The following is a 23887-nucleotide window of genomic DNA, read 5'->3' on the forward strand; positions in this document are numbered from 1 at the left end:
TTCCTGAGGGTGTCTCCATCCCTCCCGGCCAGTATGTGGTGACTTCCTACCAAAGGCCACCAGGGGAGCACGGCCAAACCCGGCTCTCCAACACGGCAGGAAACGTTTCCAGCCTAAAAGCCACTTGTAGGATTATCGGATTCATTCTGGGCGCCGCTGCCAAGTGATGCCCCCGCAGTGCCAACATCTCCCTCAGCTCTTTGTCCCCACGTTGCCTTGCCCTGCCCTACCCTTGCGCCTGGCCCGGGAGCCAGCCCCACCCTGGGGCCGAAGCAGTTCCCCTTCCCCGCGGCTGCCCTCCCCAGGCACACCCCGGGGCCTCGGTCCGCGGCTCCTCCTCCCCCACACTCCTGCTCCCCGGGTGAGAGCGAGCCCGAGCAGCCGGCGGGCCCCTGCCACGGTCACCCAGCCCTCTGCCCACGACCCCCGAGGGTCCGCTCTCGAGGACCAGCCAGCCAGGCTGGGAGTTCCGCGGCCCTCACCCCGCCCAGGGCCCGCCGTCCCGTCAGTCCCTCACCGGGCGGAGGCTGGGCGGGCGACGGTGGCACCGGCGGGCGCGGGCCGCTGCTGTTGATGATGTAGTGGGAGACGCGCGAGTTCTCTGAGACGCTGAGCACATAGTCCCCGGGGCTGGTGCTCGAGTCCCGCACCAGGAACACCCCGTGCCGCTGGCCCTGCAGCAGCGCCACCGCCTCCTGCCGACTCAACCTCCCCCAGTACCAGCTACTCCGCTCCTCCGAGTCGAAGTTGCCCGCCATGGCTGCCTCCGCGCCTAAACGCTGGGGTGCCGCCGCCGCGCGCGCCCCTCCGGCCCCCGGCGCCCGCCGCCCAGCGGACCGGCTCCGGTTTCAGCTTCACAGCAGCGCCCGAAATGGCGGCGGCAGCCGCGGGCCTCCCCCTCCGGAAATGACGCGCTCCCTGCCCGAGGGAGGCTGCCGGGAAGGGGCCCGCGGCCCGCCATTGGGAGAAGGGCAAGGCGCCCTCGCGCGCGCACTGCGCATGCGGATTCATGGGCGGTGCCGCCCTTCCCGGGCCCGGGCTGCGGGGGATGGGAGGCGGGGTCTAGGGCCCGAGGGGCGGGGCCTCGCAGCCTCCCGCAGAGACGCGCGCCTGCGCTGCGGACAGAGCGGTGCTTCTCGTCTGGGCCCCGGTTCCTGGACGACCTGGGACTTCTAGGCAGCGACTCCCAGACAGAATTGGAGGAGAAAAGATGCGTGTGGCCCTGGGGCCTGAGTTCTCGGCCAGGCTTCCTGCGATATCAGTCTGTTTCTTTTTTCTTTTTCTTTTTGAGACGGAGTCTTGTTCTGTCGCCCACGCTGGAGTGCAATGGCGCGATCTCGGCTCACTGCTCCCGGGTTCAAGCGATTCTCCTGCGTCAGCCTCCCGAGTAGCTGAGACTACAGGCGTGAGCCACCGCGCCCGGCTGTTTTTTGTATTTTTAGTAGAGACGGGGGTTTCACCATGTCGGCCAGGATGGTCTCAATCTCCTGACCTCAGGTGATCCGCCCGCCTCGGCCTCCCAAAGTGCTGGGATTACAGGCGAGAAACATCGCGCCCGGCCACGTCGGTCCGTTTCTGCTCGTTCCTCTAGCTTCTCCACAGACCAGCTGACGTTCTCATTTTCATTGATTCACCTAGGACATTGTTGTTGACACTCCACTTGCACTGCGGGTGCAAAGGTTATCATGGCTGGGCCCTGCACTCCTCGAACTCACAGACCAGTGAGAGGAACCAGGAAACTGGATGACAAAAGGATGACAAATGCTGACAAACGCTATCATGGGAAACGGACATGAACACAGAGCAGAGCCCCCACAGCCAGTCTATGGAGTAATCCAGGAGGGCTTCCCAGAGGAGGCAGCATGTGTTGACTGCTGAATGACAAATGGGGAAGGACATTCTTTCTTTTTTTTTTTTTTTTTTTTTTGAGATGGAGTCTCGCTCTGTCGCCCAGGCTGGAGTGCCTGGGCGTGATCTCGGCTCACTGCAAGCTCCGCCTCCCGGGTTCACGCCATTCTCCTGCCTCAGCCTCCCGAGTTGCTGGGACTGCAGGCACCCGCCACCACGCCCGGCTAACTTTTTGTATTTTTAGTAGAGATGGGGTTTCACCGTGTTAGCCAGGCTGGTCTCGATCTCCTGACCTTGAGATCCGCCCACCTCGGCCTCCCAAAGTGCTGGGATTACAGGCGTGAGCCACCGCACTCGGCGGGGAAGGACATTCAAAGCAAAGGGAGCAGAGTGTACCAAGCCACGTGAAGTACAGAGTTCTCTTCTCTTTTGAGGCTTTGGGGTCACCTGCCCAGATAATTCTAAACACTAAATTGTAGCCAGGGGCATCTCCTACTCTCACTGCCCTCATGATTGCCTCTGGACTGTGTTCCTACGAGTGTCGTGCTCGCTGGTGCTCTTTCGTCTGGCTGCCCCTAATCGCACTGCAAACAACTCCCACTGAGTTTTCTAAAATACAGATCTGGCCGGGCGCCGTGGCTCATGCCTGTAATCCCAACACTTTGGGAGGCTGTGGCTGGCAGATCACCTGAGGTCAGAAGTTCGAGACCGGGCTGACCAATATGGTGAAGCCCGGTCTCTACTAAAAATACAAAAATTAGCCAGGTGTGTTAGCGGGCGCCTGTAATCCCAGCTACTCAGGAGGATGAGGCAGGAGAATCGCTTGAACCCAGGAGGCGGAGGTTGCAGTGAGCCGAAATCATGCCACTGCACTCCAGCCTGGGTGACAGAGGGAGATCCTGTCTCAAAAATATATATATATGTATACAAATCTGAATGTGTTGCTACCTTGTGTAAAACTTTTAACAGTCTTCAGGTGTTCAAACTCCCAGTTTAGCTCAGAGCATAAAATTGGGCCACAGTCTCTCTCTCTCTTTTTTTTTTTTTTAGATGGATTCCTGCTCTGTTGCCCAGGCTGGAGTGCAGTGGCGTGATCTCGGCTCACTGCAATCTCCGCCTCCCGGATTCAAGCGATTATCCCTGCCTCAGCCTCCCGAGTAGCTGGGACTACAGGCACCCGCCACCACGCCCGGCTAATGTTTGTATTTTCAGTAGAGACGGGGTTTCACCATATTGGCCAGGCTCATTTTTTTTTAATTAAAAATTTTTTCTGGCCAGGCATAGTGGCTCATGCTTGTAATCCCAGCACTTTGGGAGGCCAGGAGGTCAGGAGTTCGAGACCAGCCTGGCCAACATGGCAAAACCTCATCTCTACTGAAAATACAAAAAATTAGCCGGATGTGCTGGCAGGTGCCTGAAGTCCCAGCTACTCGGGAGGCTGAGACAGGAGAATCACTTGAACCCGGGAGGCAGAGGTTGCAGTGAGGTGAGATCGCGCCATTGCACTCCAGCCTGGGCGACAGAGCGAGACTCCATCTCAAAAAACATTGTTTTTCTTTATAGCCGAGCGTGGTGGCACATCCAGCTATAGTCCCAGCTACTCAGGAACCTGAGGCGGGTGGATCACTTGAGCCCAGGAGTTCGAGGCTGTATTGAGCTATGATCATGCCACAGCACTTCAGCCCAGGTGACAGAGTGAGACCACCTCTCTAAAATAATAATCATCATTTTTTTAAGAGATGAGGTCAGCTGGTCGCTGTGGCTCACGCCAGTAATCCCAGCATTTTGGGAGGCTGAGGCAGGTGGATCACGAGGTCAGGAGATCGACACCATCCTGGCTAACACGGTGAAACGCGGTCTCTACTAAAAATACAAAAAAAATTAGCTGGGCGTGGTGGCGGGCGCCTGTAGTCCCAGCTACTCAGGAGGCTGAGGCAGGAGAATGGGTGAACCCAGGAGGCGGAGCTTGCAGTGAGCTGAGATCGAGCCACTGCACTCCAGCCTGGGCGATAGAGTGAGACTCCGTCTCAGAAAAAAAAAAAAAGAGATGAGGTCTTCTTATGGTGCCCAGGTTGGACTCTAATTCCTGGGCTCCAGGGGTCCTCCTTCCTCAGCCTCCTCAGTAGCTGGGATTATAGAGGTACCACTGTGCTGGTCCACAGTCTCGTTTAACTGCTCCTATGTGAATGCTGGGTTTCTTTTTCCTGGAATGTTCTTCTACCCACTTTGGAGTCTCAAATTCAAATGTCTTCCCTTTCTTTTTTTCTTTTTCTTTTTTTTTTTTTTTTTTTTTTTGTTTTTGAGTCGGAGTCTCGCTCTGTCGCCCAGGCTGGAGTGCAGTGGCGCGATCCTGGCTCACTGCAAGCTCCGCCTCCCGGGTTCACGCCATTCTCCTGCCTCAGCCTCCCGAGTAGCTGGGACTACAGGCGCCCGCCACCGCGCCTGGATAATTTTTTTTTTTTTTTTTTTAGTAGAGACAGGGTTTCACCGTGTTAGCCAGGATGGTCTTGATCTCCTGACTTTGTGATCTGCCTGCCTTGGCCTCCCAAAGTGCTGGGATGACAGGCGTGAGCCACCGCACCCGGCCCAAATGTCTTCCCTTTCTTAACCATCCCATCACTCCCTCTCTTCATCAACAGCAGTATGTCCAAATTATTCCCATGACAGCTCTTACCCATTTTACTGTAATTTTTCATTTGCAGTTCTGTGTATGTCCTCAAAGGCCAAGCAGCTAGTCTATGAGGTGCTCCAGAAGCATTCAGGACCGCTAACATTGATTCAGAGATGACCATCTGCCAGGCACAGTGCTGACTGCCTTTGTATGGATCATCTCATTTAATCCTCTCAACAACCTTATTTGACAAGTATCCCCATCTTACAAAAGAGAAAACTGAAGCTCAGAGAGTTTAAGTAATGTGTCCAGAGAGACATGGTCGCAGAGTGAGGAGCTAGGGTTCAAATCCTGGAAGGAGAGACAGCTATGGTCACTCTGCTCTACCCTCAATTTTCTGAGATAGGAATTGGGAGGAAGGGTTGGCAGAAATCTACATTTTTAAAAAAGCAGTAAGCTGTGGATTATGGTCTAAGGAATAACACAGTCCTGCTGGACTCACCTTACACACCCTTGGGCCTGCTCTGGGGAAGTGGGGGGTGGGGGACTGGGAGGCACAAGGGCACCTTTCCTGCTGCAGGTGACTCATCGTGACCCTGGCTTAGTGACAGCCTGGCACCGTGAGCCAGCAGAAGCAGCCGTCCCAGTGTGAATTCTGGCTGGTCTGTGAGCTCTGGACCTTACCCAGAGACTGCCTGTTCCAAAGCAGTCCCTCTGAGATCCCTCCCTAGGGCATACGGAAATTACAAGAAAAATAATTTTTTTTTTTTGAGACGGAGTTTCATTCCTGTTGCCCAGGCTGCCGTGCAATGGCACGATCTCAGCTCACCGCAACCTCCATCTCCCGGGTTCAAGTGATTCTCCTGCCCCAGCCTCCCGAGTAGCTGGAATTACAGGCATGTATCACCATGCCTGGATAATTTTTTGTATTTTTAGTAGAGACAGGGTTTCTCCATGTTGGTCAGGCTGATCTCAAACTCCCGACCTCAGGTGATCCGCCTCCCTCGGCCTCTCAAGGTGCTGGGATTACAGGTGTGAGCCACCGCACCCGGCCAAAAAAGAATTTTTTAAAGAAGAATAGACCATCCTGGCTAACATGGTGAAACCCCGTCTCTACTAAAAACACAAAAAATTAGCCAGGCGTGGTGGCGGGCGCGTGCAATCCCAGCTACTTAAGAGGCTGAGGCAGGAGAATTGCTGGAACCCGGGAGGCAGAGGTTGCAGTGAGCCGAGATCGAGCCACTGCACTCCAGCCTGGGTGAGAAGAGTGAAACTCCATCTCTAAATAAAGAAATAAAAGAGAACTCTGGGGCACCATGTGAGGGGAACTCCAAGGAGAGTCTTGGGTAGAGACGGAGCGAGGAGCACAGGCAGGATGCTGCGCCTTCCAGGAAAGGTCAGTAAGATGTCCCCACTGGCAATGTGATTCTGGGACCATCGAGAATGGGTTATTTGCTTTGCTGCGTGCAAACTCCTCTCATCGCTGCAATCTTTTAGGGAAGCTGCTCACACAAAGGCCTTCTTGCAGAATCAAGGAGAAGGTACCCATTTCCTCTGCCACTCTTCTCTGCCCCCAGCCTTCTTCCCTTTCCTCTCAGGAGACTCCACGTTCCTCGAGGGCTTTGCCTTGCTGTTCCCTCTGCCTTGACCACTCTTGCTCCAGATCCTAGCCGTCACTTCCTCTCCTCGTTCAGGTCCCCGCTCTGATGTCATCTCCTCTGTGAGGCCTTGCCTGACTGCAAACTACACACCAACACTCCCTCTCCCCTTGTCTGCTTTGCTTATTTTCCTAGCACTTATCTCTTTCTAATATGTTAGGTATTTTCCTTACGTATTGTCTATTCTTTGCTAGAGTGTAAGCTCCATGAGAGCAGGGATTTGGGTCTTTTTGTTGTTCCTGCTATATCCCAAGAGCCTCACTGAGATCCTGGCACATTGCAAGCATTCCTTCAATTCATACTGGTTGAATGGGCCGGGCGCGGTGGCTCATGCCTGGAATCCCAGCACTTTGGGAGGCCAAGGCAGGCGGATCATGAGGTCAGGAGTTCGAGACCAGCCTGTCCAATATGGTGAAACTCCGTCTCTACTAAAAATACAAAAATTAGCTGGGCGTGGTGGCACGCACCTGTAGTCACAGCTACTCAGGAGGCTGAGGCAGAATTGCTTGAACCTAGGAGGCAGAGGTTGCAGTGAGCCGAGATCGCGCCACTGCACTCCAGCCTGGGCGATGCAGTGAGACTCGTCTCAAAACACACAAACAAACAAACAAAAACCTGTTGCCCAGGCTGGAGTACAGTGGTTCCATCTCAGCTCACTGCCACCTCCACCTCCCGGGTTCAAGCAATTCTCCTGCCTCAGGAGGCCAGGTTGGTCTCAAACTCCTGACCTCAAATGATCCACCCACCTCGGCCTCCCAAAGCGCCGGGTTGAATGAAGGAAGGATGAATGGAGAACTGGCGGAAGCTCTTGTCTAGAGCCAGCATTAGCTTTTCCCATAATTGGCAGATATTTCCTGGAGGTCACTGGACTTCCCTCAGGATGTGAGCTGAGGGCACAAACCAGTCCTGGTTACCTCTCAAAAGGTCAGAGTAGGCTGGGCACGGTGGCTCACGCCTGTCATCCCACCACTTTGGAGTGACCACTTTGAGATCGTGCCATTGCACTCCAGCCTGGGCGACAGACTCTGTCACAAAAAAACAAACAAACAAACAAAAAAAGGCGGACGTCTGGGTAATGTCTGTGATGTCATTCTCGCGTGCATTCTGGTTTGCTAGAGAAAGGAATGTCGACACAGTTATAAAGCATGTAATTGCACTTAATACCTATCTTATCTATCAGCTTCTTGGAGGCATCGTTACTGCTGATAAAGTGGACGAATAATTGTGGTTTCATTTTTCCTCGGGAAAATTAATCATGGAGAGAGGTGTCAAAATGTAGGTGTGCGTACAGGATCGTGTCAAGCCCAAAACACCACGTTGCGTGGTATCTCCTTGTTTGAGAATCTCTGCCCCAGGTTTCAAATCTAAGCTCCTCAGGCAGCTGGCCTGACCCCGGGCCAAACCTGTTCTTGCCTCTAAGCTCCACATGCACCGTTCCCTCCACCCACAGCGCGCCGCCCTCTTGGAAAAACTCACAGCCATCTGCTGACGACGAGCTCCGTGGTTGCAGCTTGAAGCACTTTCTTTTTTTTTTTTGCTCTGTCGCCCAGGCTGGAGGGCAGTGGCATAATCTCGGCTCACTGTAACCTTCGCCTCCGGGGTTCAAGGGATTCTCCTGCCTCAGCCTTCCGAGTAGCTGGGATTACAGGCACACGCCACCCTGCCTGGCTAATTTTTGTATTTTTAGTAGAGATGGGGTTTCACCGTGTTGGCCAGGCTGGTCTTGAACTCCTGACCTCAGGTGATCCACCTGCCTCAGCCTCCCAAAGTGCTGGGACTACAGGCGTGAGCCACCGCGCCCGGCCCACTCATTCTCTTTCTTGTGGAGGCGACACTGATTTCATTTTGGCGAGTCATCTCCTCCCACTCTTGGTTCTGTGGTTTCCGGTGTGGGTTCCGGTGTGCCCCTGGTAGCTCTGTCTCCAGGGGCAGGCACTCGATCCAGGCCTGACCAATCAGAATCTATTCCTCTCCCTGGCTACAGTGATTGGGTCAGGGTGGATGCCTCATTCAAGGTGCTGCACTGAGAATCCGCTCTGAGACTTCCACATTTTGGGAAAGAGGCACTTCCTCTTTCTGCCTCCAATGCTGAACTGACAGAATGAAAGCCTGGAGCTGTGGGTGGCTGTTGCTGCCACCCCACCTCCAGGTGAGAATCTGCTTGGGAAAGAAGCCACTGTAGAGGAAGGTTCAGCCAGGCGATGGTTCCAGACACATTCCTGACAGTGTGTGAGCACCTGGAAGTAGCCTTACTCTGGGACTAAGGTGCTAATGCTTATAAATATCCTTTTTTTGGCCCAAGCCAGTTTGGACTGGGTTTGTCACTTGCAACAGAATTTGAACGAGAGGTGTCCGGGCACGGTGGCTCATGCCTGTCACCCCAGCACTTTGGGAGGCCGAGGTGGGAGGCATCACCCAAGGTCAGGAGTTCGAGACCAGCCTGGCCAACACGGTGAAACCCAATCTCTACTAAAAATACAAAAATTAGCCAGGCGTGGTGGCGCATGATGTAGTCCCAGCTACTCAGGAGGTTGAGGCAGGAGAATCACTTGAACCTGGGAGGTGGAGGTCGCAGTGAGCCAAGATCACACCACTACACTCCAGCCTGGGTGACAAGAACGAGACTGTCTCGAGAAAAACCTGCAACACGAGGCCCTTGGTTGCCTTCCGGGGCCCTCTTCGTTTCCTAATATTCATAAGGAGACCACATTGGCAAACACGTATTGCTTTATTTAGTGTTTCTCTGGATTGCAGAAGTGTCAGCAGTGGGCTGAGACCCCCAGAAGGGCATAGAGGCAGCTGGGCAGCCCCCAGGCCCTTGAGGGTAGGAGCAGGGAGAAGCAGCAGAAGGAGGTGATGCCCCTGCCGCTCCTCCCAAGGCCAGCCCCGTCCCCACGCTCCCATGCCAGGGAGGGGTCAGGGGCCAGAAAAGGCCCTACATCCTTGAGTGGGGCCCGAGTGTGCGGGCAAGCTGTCTGTCATCCCAAGGCCTGGACTCTGGCAGAGGCGCTTTTCCCACCTGGTGGCTCCCAGGGCCGATTGCTGGTCAAGGAGCCAGATATACTCTTAAGACATGATGTGGGTTTTATGGGGCTCCCTGGCTCTGGGAGTGGCAGTGAGGCACGCTGAGGAAGGGCTGCCATCTTGGTTTTGTGGCAACCTGCCGTATGACCGTGGGCAAGTGCCTTCTCCTGTTTGGGCATCTGTCTTCTGCTCTGTAACATCAAGGGGCTGGGCTGGATGATCTCTCAGCGTCTTCCAACCTCTATGGTCTAAGACGGCCTTCCCCACTCCAGCACTGCCTCAAACTGGGATGATGAGGACAGTAAAAGGGCGTTCTTTTTTTTTTTTTTTAAGACGGAGTCTCGCTCTGTTGCCCAGGCTGGAGTGCAGTGGTGTACTCTTGGCTCACTGCAACCTCCACTTCCCGGGTTCAAGTGATTCTCCTGCCTCAGCCTCCCGAGTAGCTGGGATTAGAGGCGTGCACCACCATGCCCGGCTAATTTTGTATTTTTACTAGAGGCGGAGTTTCTCCATGTAGGTCAGGTTGGTCTCGAAATCCTGACCTCAGGTTATCTGCCCGTCTCCGCCTCCCAAAGTGCTGGGGTTACAGGCGTGAGCCACCATGCCCAGCCTAAAAGGACATTCTTAAGGCAGAAAGAAGGGGGCAGGCAAGGGTGGTCTCAGCCCCCAGATGGAAGTCAGAGTGGGCTGCAAAAGATGCAGATGGGCAGGCAGGGAGACAGGTAAACAGACAGAAAGACAAGGTGCCAAGGGAATCAGGAGGAGAGGTGTCCTGGCCAGGGAAGAGGGCACCAGAGCCCAGCCCACACAACCTCTCGGCTACATTCCTTGCCCTGCTGGAGTCAGGGAAAACACATCCACTGTGTCCTTGGGTGGGAAATGGCTTTTTTTAAAAAATAGTTTCCTATAAAGCATCAAAAAAACCTCAGAGAAAACCTCAGCAAAAGTTCCCTTCTCTCAAATATTTGGCATCGGCAGTAGGGCTGGCATGGCTCGCTCTGGCCCTGGCTTTCCTATTGCTGTGGCCCGGCCTGGCCCACTCCTGGGGTAGCTCCTGGCCCCTGCTGCTCCCTCAAGAGAGGGATGGGCAGGAGGTGGGAGATTGCAGGTGGGCTTCGGGGTGTCCCTGGGTCCCTGTCTGGAAGTTCGAGTCTTTGGTAACTGGGAAGGGGAGGAGGAGAAAAGCAAAGCATTGGGCGTTGGGAGGGTCCAGTGGGCGCCTTTATCACCGAGAATTCAGCCGTGGGGCGACCTGTGGGGGCGGAGAGAGACGGCCAAGTGGTGAGGGGAGCAGACGGGGGCCCCGGTACTCAGACTTTTCTTTTCGTCCTTGTTTTTTCCTTTTTATGGAGAATGGGGTCTCGCTATATTGTCCAGGCTGGTCTTGGACTCCTGGGCTCAAGCTGTCCTCCCACCTCTGCTTCCCTAAGAGTTGGGATTACAGGCGTGAGCCGCCGCACCCAGCCCCAGCGCTCAGATTCATGGGTTCGATGCAGGCAGGAGTGGTGGGGGCCTAGTGGTCTCCATCCTGGAGACTCAGACCTGACTCCCATAGGAATGCCCACCGCCCTGGCCAGCGTGAGCCTGTGAGCCTGTCCTCCCTCCTGGCACCCCCAATCAGCCTATGTATCTTCCCTGCATTGCCGTGCTGCCTTTTTTTTTTTTTTTTTTTTTTTGAGACAGGGTCTCATTTTGTCACCCAGGCTGGAGTGCAGTGGTGAGATCTTGGGTCTCATTGCAGCCTCAACCTCCTGGGCTCAAGCAATCCTCTCATCTCAGGCTTCTGAGCAACTGGGACTACAGGCATACGCCACCACACCAGGCTAACTTTTTTGTATACAAATTCTGAGATGGAATTTTGCTCTTGTTGCCCAGGGTAGAGTGTAATGGCGCAATCTCGGCTCACCGCAACCTCCACCTCCCGGGTTTAAGCGATTCTCCTGCCTCAGCCTCCCAAGTAGCTGGGATTACAGGCATGCGCCACCACACTCGGCTAATTTTGTATTTTAGTAGAGATGGGGTTTCTCCAGTTGGTCAGGCTGGTTTCGAACTCCCAACCTCAGGTGATCCACTTGCCTTCGCCTCCCAAAGTGCTGGGATTACAGGCGTGAGCCACTGTGCCTGGCCTTTTTTTTTTTTTTTGAGATGACATCTCACTCTGTTCCCCAGGCCTGGAGTGCAGTGGCATGATATCAGCTCACTGCAATCTCCACCTCCTGGGTTCAAGCAATTCTCCCGCCTCAGCCCCCACTAGTAGCTGGTATTACAGGCGTGCACCACCACGCCCGGCTAATTTTTGTGTTATTAGTAGAGATGGGGTTTCACGATGTTGGCCAGGCTGGTCTCGAACTCCTGATCTCGGGTGATCCACACACCTCGGCCTCCCAAAGTGCTGGGATTAAAGGTGTGAGCCACTGCACCCAGCCTTTTGCATTTTTTTAGTAGATGGGTTTTGCCATGTTGGCCAGGCTGGTTTCAAACTCCTGGCCTCTGGTGATCCACCCGCCTCAGCCTCCCAAAGTGCTGGGATTATAGGCATGAGCCACCGTGCTGCCACCTTTACAACTTTCTGCACTGAGGGGCTCTCTCTGGCCCTCATGGGTGGGCCAAGGGATGGAAGAGGTGGTATGATGGCCTCTGGATGAAGGCCCATGGTGAGGTGCCTGGGCTCTGCCAAGCACAGCCAAGGAAGGCTTGGCTATCACAGCCAGGCCATAAGCGGGAAAGCAGGCCCCACTCACCACAGCCAGGTGCCCGTTCTTGGCCTTGGTGATGAGCAGCTCCGAGCCGGGTGTGAAGTCAATGGTGCCATCCCTGCCGGGGCCCCCTGCAAACGTGATGCTGGGGGAACGGGGTGGGTGAGGGTTTTTCCATGGAGGCAGACCCCCAACCCTAAGGTGGACCCCCACCCTGTCCCTGGGTGCCCACACAGCCCCCTCGCCACCCCCGCCCTGTCCCCGGGGGCCGCCCGCGCCTCACCTGCCCTGGTTGATGTTGATGCTGTTCACGCGGTTGGCACTGAGGGCTGTCTTGGTCAGCGTCTCAATCACGTGGTCACTCTGCAGCACCACATCTCCCTGGGGGGCCAGGCAGGAGGAGGGGTCAGGCCCTGCCCAGAACTTGAGGAACCCCCGCCCCACCTCCCCATCCACCTCCTGACCCCCAAATCCACCCCCATCCACCCTCCCACCTCCCCATCCACCTCCTGACCCCCCAATCTACCCCCATCCACCCTCCCACCTCCCCATCCACCCCCACACCCCCTATTCCCCCATCCACCCCACCTCCCCATCTACCTCCCCCATCCCCCACCACTCCTCCCCATCCATGAAAAGGCACCTTTTGCTTATTGTCCGCACGCTGTACATGAAGCACAAAAAGACTGTCGCTCAGGCTGCTGACAGAGATTCCTGAGGGGAGAGGGCAAAGGTCAGAGGTCGAGGGTCAGAGCAGGGCCCTCCCCCTGCAGCCCTGGACCCTGGCTGACCGGTCAGGTTGGCGTAATCAATCCTCTGCTTGACTTTGGCGTCCTCCACGATGACGACGGCGTTGGGCGTGAGCAGCAGCTGCCGGGAGCGAGGCTTGTAGCCCTTGCGGTCGTATTTCACAACAGGCACCGCATACTGGGGACAGAGGCCAGGCTGAAGGGGCTGGGGAGAGGCTCCCAAGGCTCCGCCCCTGCCCTGACCTGCCTTCAGCTCTCAGGCAGTAGCACCGTGCTGCTGGACTCAGGGCTGCAGGCAGGCTCTTACCTGAATGGGCTCAGAGCCCAAGGCCTGCAGCACTCGGGGGCTGATCTCATCTGTACCTGCAACTCAGATGGCGGGGAGGGAAGTCAGTGGAGGCAATGGGGGACCAGGATGGTGACGAAAGGTCTGAGTGCTGGAAAGTCAGGGGCTCACCAAGCCGAGTGCTGATGAAGAGCCTGGGTACACTCTGAGGGTAATTATCCTTCTTGCCCTTGAAGATCTCACTAGCCACGGCCTTCTGCTGCAGCTGAGGAGACAAGGGGGGTGAGGAGAGTGTCATGGTGGGGAGCACCATCTTGGGGGGGCAGAGCCAGCCTTAGGACCTGAGACAGCCTCCCTCACCCGCTTGCTGGTCCCTCTCTGGCTCAGCACCAGGAGGCTGAGCCCTGCCCCCCACACGCCCATCAACCCTCCACTTCCTGACCCTCTGCCGCCACCAAGCACTCCCCAGCGGGGTCATGAAGGCACTGCGGGGTTTTGAAACTGGCCTTGGTAATGCTTCCCCACCCCATCAGGCCCTGGTGGCCCTGAGACTCAGCTCCAGCTTGGGGTCTTGTAAGCAGCAGATCACTAATACTCAAGGTTACTGGGTGGGCCCTTTAGCATCATCCAATACTGAGTTGGCAAAAACACGGCACATCAACCAATGCCTGTAATCAGGGCAGATATCACCAATCGACCCGAGTGAAGACGCAGACTTTTCAACACAGGGTTCTGAGCAGTCTCTACCAATCAAGGGCAGTTGGCCCACGATATGAACCCTACTGGCCACCCCAGCTGTACTCCAGTGTCCACTTCCTACACGAGGCCCAGCAGGGCCTGGCATCCAACTGAGGTCACCGGTAGACCGGGGTAAATACGGTAGACTAGGGTAAATAGAGCAGACCGGGGTAAATAGAGCAGACCGGGGTAAACAGAGTAGACCGGGGTAAATACGGTAGGCGGGGTAAATATGGTAGGCAGGGCAAAATACGGTAGACCGGGGTCAATACTATAGACGGGGTAAATACAGTAGATTGCGGTAAATAGAGTAGACTGGGGTAAATACGGTAGGTGGGGTAAATACAGTAGACCGAGATAAATACGGTAGGCGGGGTAAATACGGTAGACTGGGGTAAATAGAGTAGACCAGGGTAAATACGGTAGATCGGGGTAAATACGGTAGAACGCGGTAAATACGGTAGACCGGGGTAAATGCCCCTCCAGGCGGACACCCTTTGAGCAATGCTTGCGACTCCCTGACTCCACTTCCTCATCCTCACCCAGCCCCGCTCTCCGTACCTGCTGCTTCCACTCAGGGCTGATACTCCGGCAGTATTTCCACACCATGTTCTTTATGCACAACTCCCGCAGAAGCTCTGAGGCCTAAGGGGAGGAGTGAGGTCAGAGGTCCTGGACACCCTGGGCCCTTCCCTCTGAAGACATCGAACATATGCTACTGCATCCTTTGGATAAGTAACACCCCCTCCATCTGGAGACGCTTCCGGTCAAGAGACCTTACTCGGCAGGGCGCGGTGGCTCACGCCTGGAATCCCAGCACTTTGGGAGGCCAAGGTGGGTGGATCACCCGAGCTCAGGAGTTCAAGACCAGCCTGGCCAACAGGGTGAAACCCCGTCTCTACTAAAAATAAAAAAATTAGCCGGGCGTAGTGGCGGGCGCCTGTAGTCCCAGCTACTCAGGAGGCTGAGGCAGGAGAATCGCTTGAACCCGGGAGGCGGAGGTTGCAGTGAACCGAGATCATGCCACTCCCTGGGCGAAAGTGTGAGACTCCATCTCAAAAAAAAAAGAGACCTTACTTTTCACTGCTCAGCTCTGGTCCGGGCCCTCCGTGAGCCCTCCCTGACCAATCCTTTGGCCCGAAGAAATCAGACCCTTCTGCTGTGTACTATGATGGTCCCTAACTTGGCAGGGGGTGCCCACAGACCTCACGCAGGGCAGGTGGGGGCGTGGGCCACGAGGTGTCCAGGACATTCTGGGGCAGCTGCCGCCTCAGGTTTAGCAAAAAAGAGGTGCGCACATGGTCCAGGAAGAAGGCGTTCTCGGGGCAGCGGGGGGCGTGGCGCAGGACGAAGCCTCGGATGAGCCTGGGGTGGGGGGCCAGACAGGGTTGGGGGTGAGGGGCCTGGCGGTGAACCACCCCCCACGCCCTGCTCTGCAGCCCCCACAAGGCACCCTGGCGCTCACCGCCGGATGGTCTGTGCCGCCCACTTCCTCTTGGCTGCCTTCCTCCGGCCCAGTGTTCCACGCCACCACGACTGGATGCAGATGGCTGTCGTGGAGACCACAGATGGCTGAACTCTATCTTCTTACCATGGTGGCCCCCCCTGGCCCCAGACCCCGCCCCTCCTGAACACCCATGGGCCCGCGAACCTGATCTCTTCACCCGGAGGAATTTCTGCCGCCAGTGAAAGCCCCTCCAGGCAGCTTGGATCTTTGTGGCTGCGGTTGGGAAAGAAAGGCAATTGGCCAGAGCGCGGGGAGCCAGCTGGGAGCCTGGTGCCGTGTGCGCTCCACGAGTGGCATGAATGGGAGAGTGGCTGAAGGAACCAACGAGCAGGAGGAGAGTGGTGAAGAAGAATGAATGTGGGGACTGCCCGGAAAAGGGGGGCGGCGGGTGGGATGGTGGGCGTGGGGCTGGAGCTGGTGGGGAGGGGCTCCAAGTCGGCCATTGGACTCTCTGGAGAAGGACTCCCTGGAGCTGGGCGTGGGGCTGGAGCTGATAGGGAGGGGTGGACTCCCTGGAGAAGGAGCCCAAGGGAGTGACTTCCCTGCTTCCCAGAAGGGACCCCGTGCAGCAGGAAGGGTAGGCCTCTCTCTCACCCAGGCTCTGCCGCCGGACCTCCAGGGCATCCTCTGTGGCAAACAGGGTCTTGGGGAAGCGGATGAAGATCTTGGTCCTGGGAGAGCAGTAGTGATCAGCCCGGGGTTGCCACTCCCATTCCCCGCAGGCACCCGGCACGGACACTACCCACCTGCCCATCTTGTACTCTTCTGGCTTGTAGCCCAGGTGTCGGACCAGCACAGCCACCCCATCCTGCGGCCGTCCTGCCCACGTGGGCCACGTCTCTGGGCACAGTGACTTGTACCTGGGGACAGGAATGCACGCGGCTCCCACCCCAGTCAGCAGCCTGCCCTGGGGACCCCAATCAGCTTTCTCTGGGCACCTGCTGGGTGCTCCCACTGACTCGTTCACAGCTAGCAGGAGGCTCACTCGGTCACTGCCCCCATTTTAAAGATGAAGAAACCGTTCTTATCTACCTAAGGCCAAGTAACTAGAAAGTGGCAGAGATGAAATTCAGTTTGACCCCCCAGGCCCCCGACTCAGAAGAACCACAAAGCTGCTCCACCCTTTCGGAGCCCCTTGGAAGCTGCCCTACAAGGCTTGCTGTCTGCCTCTGGTGCCCGGCACGTGGACGGAGGCCTCCTGTACCCCTGACCGGGTGCTCCTGGAGGGCACGGCCTGGGGGAGCCGGGTATTCTTTCCACCCAGCCTGATGTCAGGACCGCAGCACCAAGGGCCTCCACCAAGGGCAGCCCAGGGCCTCCGCATCCGCATTTCTAAAATGGGGCCGAGAACCCTTGTCTGCCCTCATGGGACCTAGGGGCTCCTACCCTCCCGCTCCCCTTCCCTGGCACCGAGCAGGACCTGCCCCCACCTTTGCAGGAAAGCTTCGTATTTGCGGCGATAGGCAAAGCCGGCTCTGCGCACGCGCAGGTTTTCCAACAGCCCCAGGTACTTCACCTGGTGGCGGATCAGCACCTCGTCAAAGCGGCCTGGGGTAGGGGGAGCGCCGTGGTCAGCGGGCTGGCGCTGACGGCCTGTCTCCTGCAGGGGAGGCCCGGCCCCGAAGTCCCCCGTGGGAGGGGCCTACCGGGCTGTTTGGCATCATTGGGTTTGATGCAGCGGACGTAGGCGGGCTCCTTAGACTGCAGGATCTCCACCAGCTGCAGGAGGCTCATCTTGAACTGGGTGGCGACCTGGCGAGCCAAGAGGCATGGGAGGTTGGCCGGAGCTGGGCTAAAGCTGCTGACCCCAGCAGCGAGTACCCCACTCCCCTGGCTGGTGACGCGCGCAGCAGCCTCTGATTCTGCCTGGTCCTTACTCCTCCCACCACAGCTTCCTCGCAGCAGAGGAGGGGGCCAGACTCCACCCCTTACCCCTCTGGCTGGGCGAGAGACCTCAGTCTACGAGCCTCACTCCAGCCTAAAACTCCTGCTCAGGTCTCCCAGCAACCTCAGTGCTACACCTCCCTTTAGTGGCCCTTCTTTTTCTTTCTAGAACTTCAGGGCTGCGTTCCTAAACAGCATGTCCCATGCTACGCATTCAGCTAGTATCTGGGTATGCTGCTCTGCGGGACCTGGAAGGATCTCAGGCCTGGCGGAGGAGCACGCTCCTTGGCAAAGACTCACAATCCCGGTGTTCCGAGAGTAGCAGGTGTATGCCTGTGGGTTCTGAGAGCCCCACAAAGGGACAATTCATCCAGTCTGAGGGTTAGGGGGCACCAGGTGACGTCTTCTGGAAATGACGCTCTGCTGAGCTTTAAAGGATAAGGAGGAGGGGCGGGTGAAGTGGCTACAGGGAAGGACTGAGGGGGAGCTGCTAAGTACTCCGGCAAGATCCAGTGGCTGGACAAGGGAGACAAGGAGAGAAAAGAACGAGGGGGCCGGAGCCGGGCGCGGTGGCTCACGCCTGTCATCCCAGCACTTTGGGAGGCCGAGGCGGGCGGATCACCTGAGGTCAGGAGTTTAAGACTAGCCTGGCCAACATGGTGAAACCCCATCTCTACAAAAATAAAAAAATTAGCCGGGCACGATGGCGGGTACCTGTAATCCCAGCTACTCGTGAGTGTGAAGTGGGAGAATGGCGTGAGCCCAGGAGGCAGAGGTTGCAGTGAGCCGAGATCGCGCCACTGCACTCCAGCCTGGGTGACAGAGCGAGACTCCGTCTCAAAAACAAAAACAAAAACAAAAAAGGGGATGACACCCAGGTTTCTGGCCTGGGGGACTGGGTCAAAGAAGGAGAAAGCCTGGAGGGGCAGACCAAGGGCCCGTTTGTTATAGACCAGTGGGATCTAGGGTGCCCTGGGGCCACCTAGGGGAAGAGGATGAGATACACGAGTCTGTGGCTTGCTGGAGAGGCCTGGGCGGGAGGGTGTGTAGGCATCCTCAGCAGGGAGACGCTAGGGCCGGGAGGATGTGGTGCTTCGGGAGAGGGTGGGGTGGACGGCAGCAGCGGGCAGGGGCACAGTGAGCCACACCCTGGGCAGCATGTCGCCTGCATGCCCTCCCTGCCAGGCAGTCTGGCTTCCACCTCCCTATGGACTCACTGACCTCACTCTTCTGGGGCTCCCCTGACCCTCTTTTTGCCAAGCCCAACAGCCGTACCTCCGCCTTCAGCTCGCTGGAGCCCTCCCTGCATCTGGCACCCTGGCCATGCCTGCCTTTCCCCCGGTCCTTCTCCTTGATGCCATCGCTTTCCTGCTCACCTCATGGCCTTTTTAGACTCTCTGTGTCTGGACTGGGCCCTCACTATAGGTTCATCTGACATTCCCAAGTCATCTCCAATGCTTCCTCCTCCAGGGAGCCTCCCCAACCCCTCACCCCTTCCGCCCCGTCAGGCCGTTTGCTGTTCCCTCTTCTAAGTTTGCAAAGCACCCTGTGCACATGTTGCTGCAGGCACACCCACTCATTGTGGTACCTCAGTGCCTGGCAGTGTCTGCTATAAATGTCTGCTGAGTGGGTAGACACATGACAGCAACCGCACAGAGGCAGCTGTCAACATATGGGCACCCACAGAGACAGACGTACACAAGGATTCCCCTACAGACACAGCCCACACTGAAGACACACGACTCCACTATAGACACAGCACACACACACAAGTAGGCAAACAGGGACAGGCGTGGTGGCTCACACCGGTAATCCTAACACTTTGGGAGGCCGAGGCAGGTGGATCACCCGAGGTCAGGAGTTTGAGACCAGCCAGGCCAACATGGTGAAACCCCATCTCTACTTAAAATACAAAAAATTAGCCGGGCATGGTGGCAGGCGCCTGTAATCCCAGCTACTCAGGAGACTGAGGCAGGAGAATCGCTTGAACCAGGGAGGTGGAGGTTGCAGTGAGCCCAGATTGCGCCACTGCACTCCAGCCTGGGCAACAGAGCGAGACCCTGTCTCAAAAAAAAAAAAAAAAAAAAAAAGTAGGCAAAGAGGCACCTAAGGCAGCCCCCTACAGACACCTGCAGATGTGCACGGGCTCACACGCGTTCACACGCACGCTGCCAGCTCCCAGGCTCACACAGGCCCTCATGCACACTCAGGCGCATGCACCCCTGCGCCCGGTCCCGCCACCTCCTCACCGTCTCTGGCCGCTTCTTGTCACTGAGCTCGCTCCGGTCAAAGCACTGGCTCATAATGGGATTCTTTGAGCTACACATGGTCTGTGTGGGCAGAGCCGGGGTCAGGGTGGGGCACAGGGACAGGCAGGACAGGCTCCTGGACACAGGTGCAGAGCTGTGGGCTATCCCCACCCCCACCCCGGCCTCCCCACGTCCTCCTCACCTCCTTAAGGTTCCGGAAGAGAAGGTCATTGTTTTTGTCCAGAAACCCTGGGAGGGGAGAACCGACGTGAGGTGAGACAGAGCCTCCCCGCAGGCCCCTGTGGGGACACAGCCCCAGGATCCTCACCGGTCACGCTGTAGGTCACCTCCCCCGCATAGTGCAGAAGGCGGAATTCCCCTCGGCCCAGAGATTTCCTGGTCCGCTGGTCAGCCAGCTTGTGCCTGGGGGTGACAGGGAGGAAGCTGCAGATGGCTGCCGGCCTGAGCCAAGCCCTCTGCCTGCTGAAAGGGCCTCAGGAGCAGGAACCAGCTGCCCAGGTGCACCCCAGGCCGGGCACAGTGGCTCACGGCTGTAATCCCAGCAGTTGGGGAGGCCGAGGTGGGTAGATCACAAAGTCAGTACTTCGAGACCAGCTTGGTCAATATGGTGAAACCCCATCTCTACCAAAAATACAAAAATTAGCCAGGCGTGGTGGTGGGCGCCTGTAGTCCCAGCTACTCAGGAGGCTGACAAAGGAGAATCGCTTGAACCTGGGAGGCAGAGGTTGCAGTGAGCCGAGATGGTGCCACTACACTCCAAAAAAAAAAGAGCAGGTGCACCCCCAGGGCTGGGTCACTGAGGCAGGCCAGGCAGGGCCAGTGGCCTCCCTGATCAGAGCGGACCATGGAGGCTCAGAGAGGTAGATGGCCTTGGCCAGGGCCACACAGTGCCAGGACCGGGACCTGGGCCTCCTGACGGCCAGGGTACGCTGCAGGGAGGGAAACTCTCGTTGCTTCGGCCGCTGCGGGCTCTGCTCAGAAGGGGTGGTGAGCTGCGCACTACTTTTCAGAATGGAATCTGCTGCCCCAAGAGAGCACTTAAGTCTTAGGCGTGTTTATACCCTTTCACCCATTTGCTTTTAAGAACTATTTCAAGCAGCTAACCAGAGACACGGACAAAGATTGAAGGCACGGAGATGTTTGTGGCAGCCTTGTGATTCCAGCAGAAACCTGGGAGGCTGGCCAGGGGCCCCGAAGGGCTGGGTGAGAGAGGGGAGTATCTGTGGGTCAGAACCGCTCCAGGAAGTGTTCTGAGGAAAATGTTGTTTGATGATACGGGAAAATGTGCAGGATATTTACCCTGAGCCTTATACACAAGTTCTCGACTACGAAAAAAAATGCATAGAAAAAGGCAGGAGGGAAATGCCTCACACAGTTAACAGCCATGGCCTTTGGGCGACGGGATCACAGGTGGCTTTTGCGCACATTCCAACTTTGCTGTAATAAGCAATATTATTTTTATAATCAGGAACAAGTTTTTAGTATTTATTATTTAATGAATCAGGCAGCCCCTAAACCCGAATAGATTCAGAGAGACTCCTAGAAACAAGTCTTTTTTTTTTTTTTGAGACGGAGTCTCACTCTGTCATCCAGGCTGGAGTGCAGTGGCACCATCTCAGCTCACTGCAAGCTCCGCCCCCCAGGTTCAAGCAATTCTCCTAGCTCCCAAGTAGCTGGAATTATAGGTGCCCACTACCACGCCTGACTAATTTTTGTAGTTTTAATAGAGATAGGGTTTCACCATGTTGGCCAGGCTGGTCTTGAATTCCTGACCTCAGGTGATCTCTGCCCACCTAGGCCTCCCACAGTGTCGGGATGACAGGCGTGAGCCACCACGCCCATCCAGAAACAAATTTTCAATATATTATTATGCAAAAAATACTCATGGCTTTGGCATTCAACAGCCCTGGCACTGACCCCAGCTCGGCAACCCAGATGAGAGCTAATTTTGGGGAAATGACTTCGCCTCTTGGAGTCTCAGTGAGAAAACACCAAGAACCCCTCAAGGAGCAGCTGCAGGTGAAGCGACGACATGCACAGCATGCATCAGACCGCGCTGGACAGAGGCGCTTGTTCCTGTTTCTACCTCTCCCCACTTCAGAGGATTCCTTCAATAAAAATCAATTTCCAAACAAGGAAGATGAAAAATCTTAGCAAGTTTCATTCTCAAACAAGAAGAAGGAGGAAGCCAGGCTACTAGTGTCTTGTTTTTTGTTTTTTTTTTTGGGGTTGAAGTCTCACTCTGTCGCTCAGGCTGGAGGGCAGTGGTGCGATCTCGGCTCACTGCAACCTGCACCTCCCGGGTTCGAGCGATTCTCCCGCCTCAGCCTCCCGAGTAGCTGGGATTATAGGCACCTGCCACCACACCCAGCGAATTTTTGCATTTTTAGTAGAGACTGGGTTTCACCATGTTGCCCAGGCTCGTTTTGAACTCCTAACCTAAGGTGATCCACCCGCCTCAGCCTCCCAAAGTGCTAGGATTACAGGCGTGAGCCACTGCACCTGGCCTTCTTTCTCTTTTTTAAAAAATTCATTATTTATTTTTTTCCCTTTTTTTTTTTTTTTGAGACGGAGTCTCGCTCTTGTCACCCAGGCTGGAGTGCAGTGGGTTGATCCTAGCTCACTGCAACCTCAAAACTCCAGGGCTCAAGTGATGCTCTTGCCCCAGCCTTCTGCATAGATGGGACTCCAGGCGTGTCAGCATGCCTGGCTAAGCTTCTTAGTTTCTGGACACATGTGAGGGGTCCTTAACTCAGCACCGTCCCTGGTCACCTCCTTGTGGCTGGTGTTTTGTGATGGCGGAGGGACTCCTGCACTCCGCAGGCTCTGCTGCAAGTGAGCCCTTGCCCCCAGCAGCCCCGCAGCCCCACTCACGTCAGGAAGTGTGGATGGTGCTTGACAGTATCCTCCAGCTTCTCCAGGAAGGTCAGGTCTGTGGCCTCCCCGGGGCGCAGACACTCCTCATCCTGGGGGGTGTGGCACAGGGGGAAGGACGTATGGGGGACAGGTCAGAGCGCACAGAGGATTGGGGTCACCGTGCTGGGAGGCACAGACACAGGGGAGGGGCAGATCACAGGGAGTCTCCACAGAGAGCTTCCAACTGGGGCGGCACCTCCCTCCATCCTCCATTCACAGCTCTGCCCTGTCTCTACTCAGCCCCAAACTCTGGCCCTCCGTGGACCAGCCTGGAGAGAACGGAGAAGGGGGACATCCTCCCACCCAGCCTCCAGCACCAGGCCTTGGAGGCGCAGAGGACTCACCAAAATCGAGATGATGCCCTTAAACTTCTCCTCCACCAGATCACAGATGATTTTGTTGTTGAAATACTGGACGGGCTCCCACTGAGGGGCAGAAGGGAAGGAAGGGATCACCGTGGGGTCCTGGCACCCTCTCCCAGGGGCCCCGATACCCAGGCTCCCCGTGGCCCACGGAGAGTGCCCCCAGGCTAGCACACACCGCGATGCCCTCTGCCTCGTACTCCTCCTGCTCCGACTTGAGCGTGAGCTCGATGAAGAGCTGCTGCAGCTTCTCGTTGCAGTAATTGATGCAGAACTGCTCAAAGCTGTAAGGAAGGAGAAGAGCCCACAGTGGCTCAGTGGGGACACAGGACCAGGAGAGGGGAAAAGCTGGACGACGCCCCTGAGCACAGGAGGTGAGAAACACAGAGACAGTCCCCGGCTGGCTGGGGAGTCACAGGGCAGGAATGAGAGGCTGGAGGACAGAAGAGAGGGAGCAGGACAGGAGACCGGGAGGAGAGACGGGGGAAAGATGGCACCGACCTGTTATGCTGAAACACTTCAAAGCCATAAATATCCAGGAGCCCGAGAACCGTGGTGCTCCGCCAGCTGGGGCTCTCCACGTCCTAGGGCAGTCATTCAACCGAAGGCGTGGGCCCCCTGCGCGTGCCAGCCCCACCCTGCAGCACCCCCCGCCTCGCCGACGGCCCTCCCTTCTGCCTTGGGAGCAGTGTGGACCGAGCCCTCACCTTGGAGGCCAGCGACCTGTTGATCTTCCCGACGAGCCAGGTAAAAGTGCGGCTGTACACAGCCTTGGCGAGGGCGTCTCGTGCGTACGCGGCCTGCTCCAGGTTCAGCGGGCTCAGGAGCTGTGGACGCAGCGTGAGACAAGGAGATGAATGCCACAGAGCCTGTGCATCCCACCTGCTCCCAGGCTCAGGCAGACCAGGAAGCCGCCACCACTCTGCACTCCCAGCTCCAGCAAGCCTGCAGTATGGGGAGGGGTGCTGGTAGTGGGACCTCAGGGAGGACAGGTGGCCACCCCAGAGGGAAGGTGGTAGAGGGACAGGAGGCCTCCTTCCCGAGGTGGGAGTCTGGTTCTAGCCGGACTGTTACTCTCTTCCTATGTGACCCTGGCCAGCTCACTGTGCTGCTTCTTTTTTTTGAGACAGAGTCTAGCTCTGTTGCCGTGATCTCGGCTCACTGCAACCTCCACCTCCCGGGTTCAAGCGATTCTCCTGCCTCAGCCTCCCGAGTAGCTGGGATTACAGGCGCCCGCCACCATGCCCGGCTAATTTTTGTATTCTTAGTAGATGGGGTTTCACCATGTTGGCCAAGATGGTCTCGAACTCCTGACCTCAGGTGACCTGCCCACCTCAG

General features: G+C 56.7%; 2 protein-coding genes across 12 annotated transcripts in view, besides 11 other annotated features; both read right to left on the reverse strand.

The window, feature by feature from the left end:
* The window catches only part of CRK (CRK proto-oncogene, adaptor protein), a 35540-nt gene extending 34667 nt beyond the window's left edge, over positions 1-873 (reverse strand). For both annotated transcript variants that reach the window (NM_005206.5, NM_016823.4), the window contains exon 1: positions 518-873. In NM_005206.5, coding sequence (NP_005197.3) covers positions 518-758 — 241 coding nt within the window. In that variant the 5' untranslated portion in view covers positions 759-873. The remainder of the gene's footprint in view (positions 1-517) is intronic.
* Positions 42-1027: an enhancer, noted in NCBI's record as "H3K27ac-H3K4me1 hESC enhancer chr17:1358695-1359680 (GRCh37/hg19 assembly coordinates)". NCBI's record gives its function as "activates a minimal SCP1, AML or CMV promoter by ChIP-STARR-seq in naive H9 embryonic stem cells {active_cell/tissue: H9 hESC(naive)}" and the evidence as "EXISTENCE:reporter gene assay evidence [ECO:0000049][PMID:30033119]".
* Positions 42-1181: a biological region, named in NCBI's record as "H3K27ac-H3K4me1 hESC enhancer GRCh37_chr17:1358695-1359680".
* Positions 292-421: a silencer, noted in NCBI's record as "silent region_7951". NCBI's record gives its function as "represses an Ori minimal core promoter by ATAC-STARR-seq in GM12878 lymphoblastoid cells {active_cell/tissue: GM12878}" and the evidence as "EXISTENCE:reporter gene assay evidence [ECO:0000049][PMID:35858748]".
* Positions 532-591: a silencer, noted in NCBI's record as "silent region_7952". NCBI's record gives its function as "represses an Ori minimal core promoter by ATAC-STARR-seq in GM12878 lymphoblastoid cells {active_cell/tissue: GM12878}" and the evidence as "EXISTENCE:reporter gene assay evidence [ECO:0000049][PMID:35858748]".
* Positions 682-1181: a silencer, noted in NCBI's record as "silent region_7953". NCBI's record gives its function as "represses an Ori minimal core promoter by ATAC-STARR-seq in GM12878 lymphoblastoid cells {active_cell/tissue: GM12878}" and the evidence as "EXISTENCE:reporter gene assay evidence [ECO:0000049][PMID:35858748]".
* Positions 7637-7716: an enhancer, noted in NCBI's record as "active region_11449". NCBI's record gives its function as "activates an Ori minimal core promoter by ATAC-STARR-seq in GM12878 lymphoblastoid cells {active_cell/tissue: GM12878}" and the evidence as "EXISTENCE:reporter gene assay evidence [ECO:0000049][PMID:35858748]".
* Positions 7846-8665: an enhancer, noted in NCBI's record as "H3K27ac-H3K4me1 hESC enhancer chr17:1366499-1367318 (GRCh37/hg19 assembly coordinates)". NCBI's record gives its function as "activates a minimal SCP1, AML or CMV promoter by ChIP-STARR-seq in naive H9 embryonic stem cells {active_cell/tissue: H9 hESC(naive)}" and the evidence as "EXISTENCE:reporter gene assay evidence [ECO:0000049][PMID:30033119]".
* Positions 8827-23887, reverse strand: part of MYO1C (myosin IC) — a 28501-nt gene continuing 13440 nt past the window's right edge. For all 10 annotated transcript variants that reach the window (NM_001080779.2, NM_033375.5, XM_047436137.1 and 7 more), the window contains exons 10-32: positions 23257-23376; positions 23051-23133; positions 22728-22833; positions 22532-22612; positions 22146-22237; positions 19579-19673; positions 19453-19499; positions 19251-19331; positions 16764-16869; positions 16548-16665; positions 15864-15977; positions 15712-15788; positions 15262-15330; positions 15076-15160; positions 14816-14975; positions 14172-14255; positions 13044-13137; positions 12894-12949; positions 12629-12764; positions 12481-12551; positions 12121-12218; positions 11883-11982; positions 8827-10393 (exon numbers count right to left, since the gene is read on the reverse strand). In NM_001080779.2, coding sequence (NP_001074248.1) covers positions 10367-10393; positions 11883-11982; positions 12121-12218; positions 12481-12551; positions 12629-12764; positions 12894-12949; positions 13044-13137; positions 14172-14255; positions 14816-14975; positions 15076-15160; positions 15262-15330; positions 15712-15788; positions 15864-15977; positions 16548-16665; positions 16764-16869; positions 19251-19331; positions 19453-19499; positions 19579-19673; positions 22146-22237; positions 22532-22612; positions 22728-22833; positions 23051-23133; positions 23257-23376 — 2100 coding nt within the window. In that variant the 3' untranslated portion in view covers positions 8827-10366. The remainder of the gene's footprint in view (positions 10394-11882; positions 11983-12120; positions 12219-12480; positions 12552-12628; positions 12765-12893; positions 12950-13043; positions 13138-14171; positions 14256-14815; positions 14976-15075; positions 15161-15261; positions 15331-15711; positions 15789-15863; positions 15978-16547; positions 16666-16763; positions 16870-19250; positions 19332-19452; positions 19500-19578; positions 19674-22145; positions 22238-22531; positions 22613-22727; positions 22834-23050; positions 23134-23256; positions 23377-23887) is intronic.
* Positions 13178-13798: an enhancer, noted in NCBI's record as "H3K4me1 hESC enhancer chr17:1371831-1372451 (GRCh37/hg19 assembly coordinates)". NCBI's record gives its function as "activates a minimal SCP1, AML or CMV promoter by ChIP-STARR-seq in primed H9 embryonic stem cells {active_cell/tissue: H9 hESC(primed)}" and the evidence as "EXISTENCE:reporter gene assay evidence [ECO:0000049][PMID:30033119]".
* Positions 18573-18662: a silencer, noted in NCBI's record as "silent region_7954". NCBI's record gives its function as "represses an Ori minimal core promoter by ATAC-STARR-seq in GM12878 lymphoblastoid cells {active_cell/tissue: GM12878}" and the evidence as "EXISTENCE:reporter gene assay evidence [ECO:0000049][PMID:35858748]".
* Positions 19473-19602: an enhancer, noted in NCBI's record as "active region_11450". NCBI's record gives its function as "activates an Ori minimal core promoter by ATAC-STARR-seq in GM12878 lymphoblastoid cells {active_cell/tissue: GM12878}" and the evidence as "EXISTENCE:reporter gene assay evidence [ECO:0000049][PMID:35858748]".
* Positions 19753-19822: an enhancer, noted in NCBI's record as "active region_11451". NCBI's record gives its function as "activates an Ori minimal core promoter by ATAC-STARR-seq in GM12878 lymphoblastoid cells {active_cell/tissue: GM12878}" and the evidence as "EXISTENCE:reporter gene assay evidence [ECO:0000049][PMID:35858748]".

Source organism: Homo sapiens, chromosome 17 (assembly GCF_000001405.40).
Source record: "Homo sapiens chromosome 17, GRCh38.p14 Primary Assembly".
NCBI lineage: Eukaryota > Metazoa > Chordata > Mammalia > Primates > Hominidae > Homo > Homo sapiens.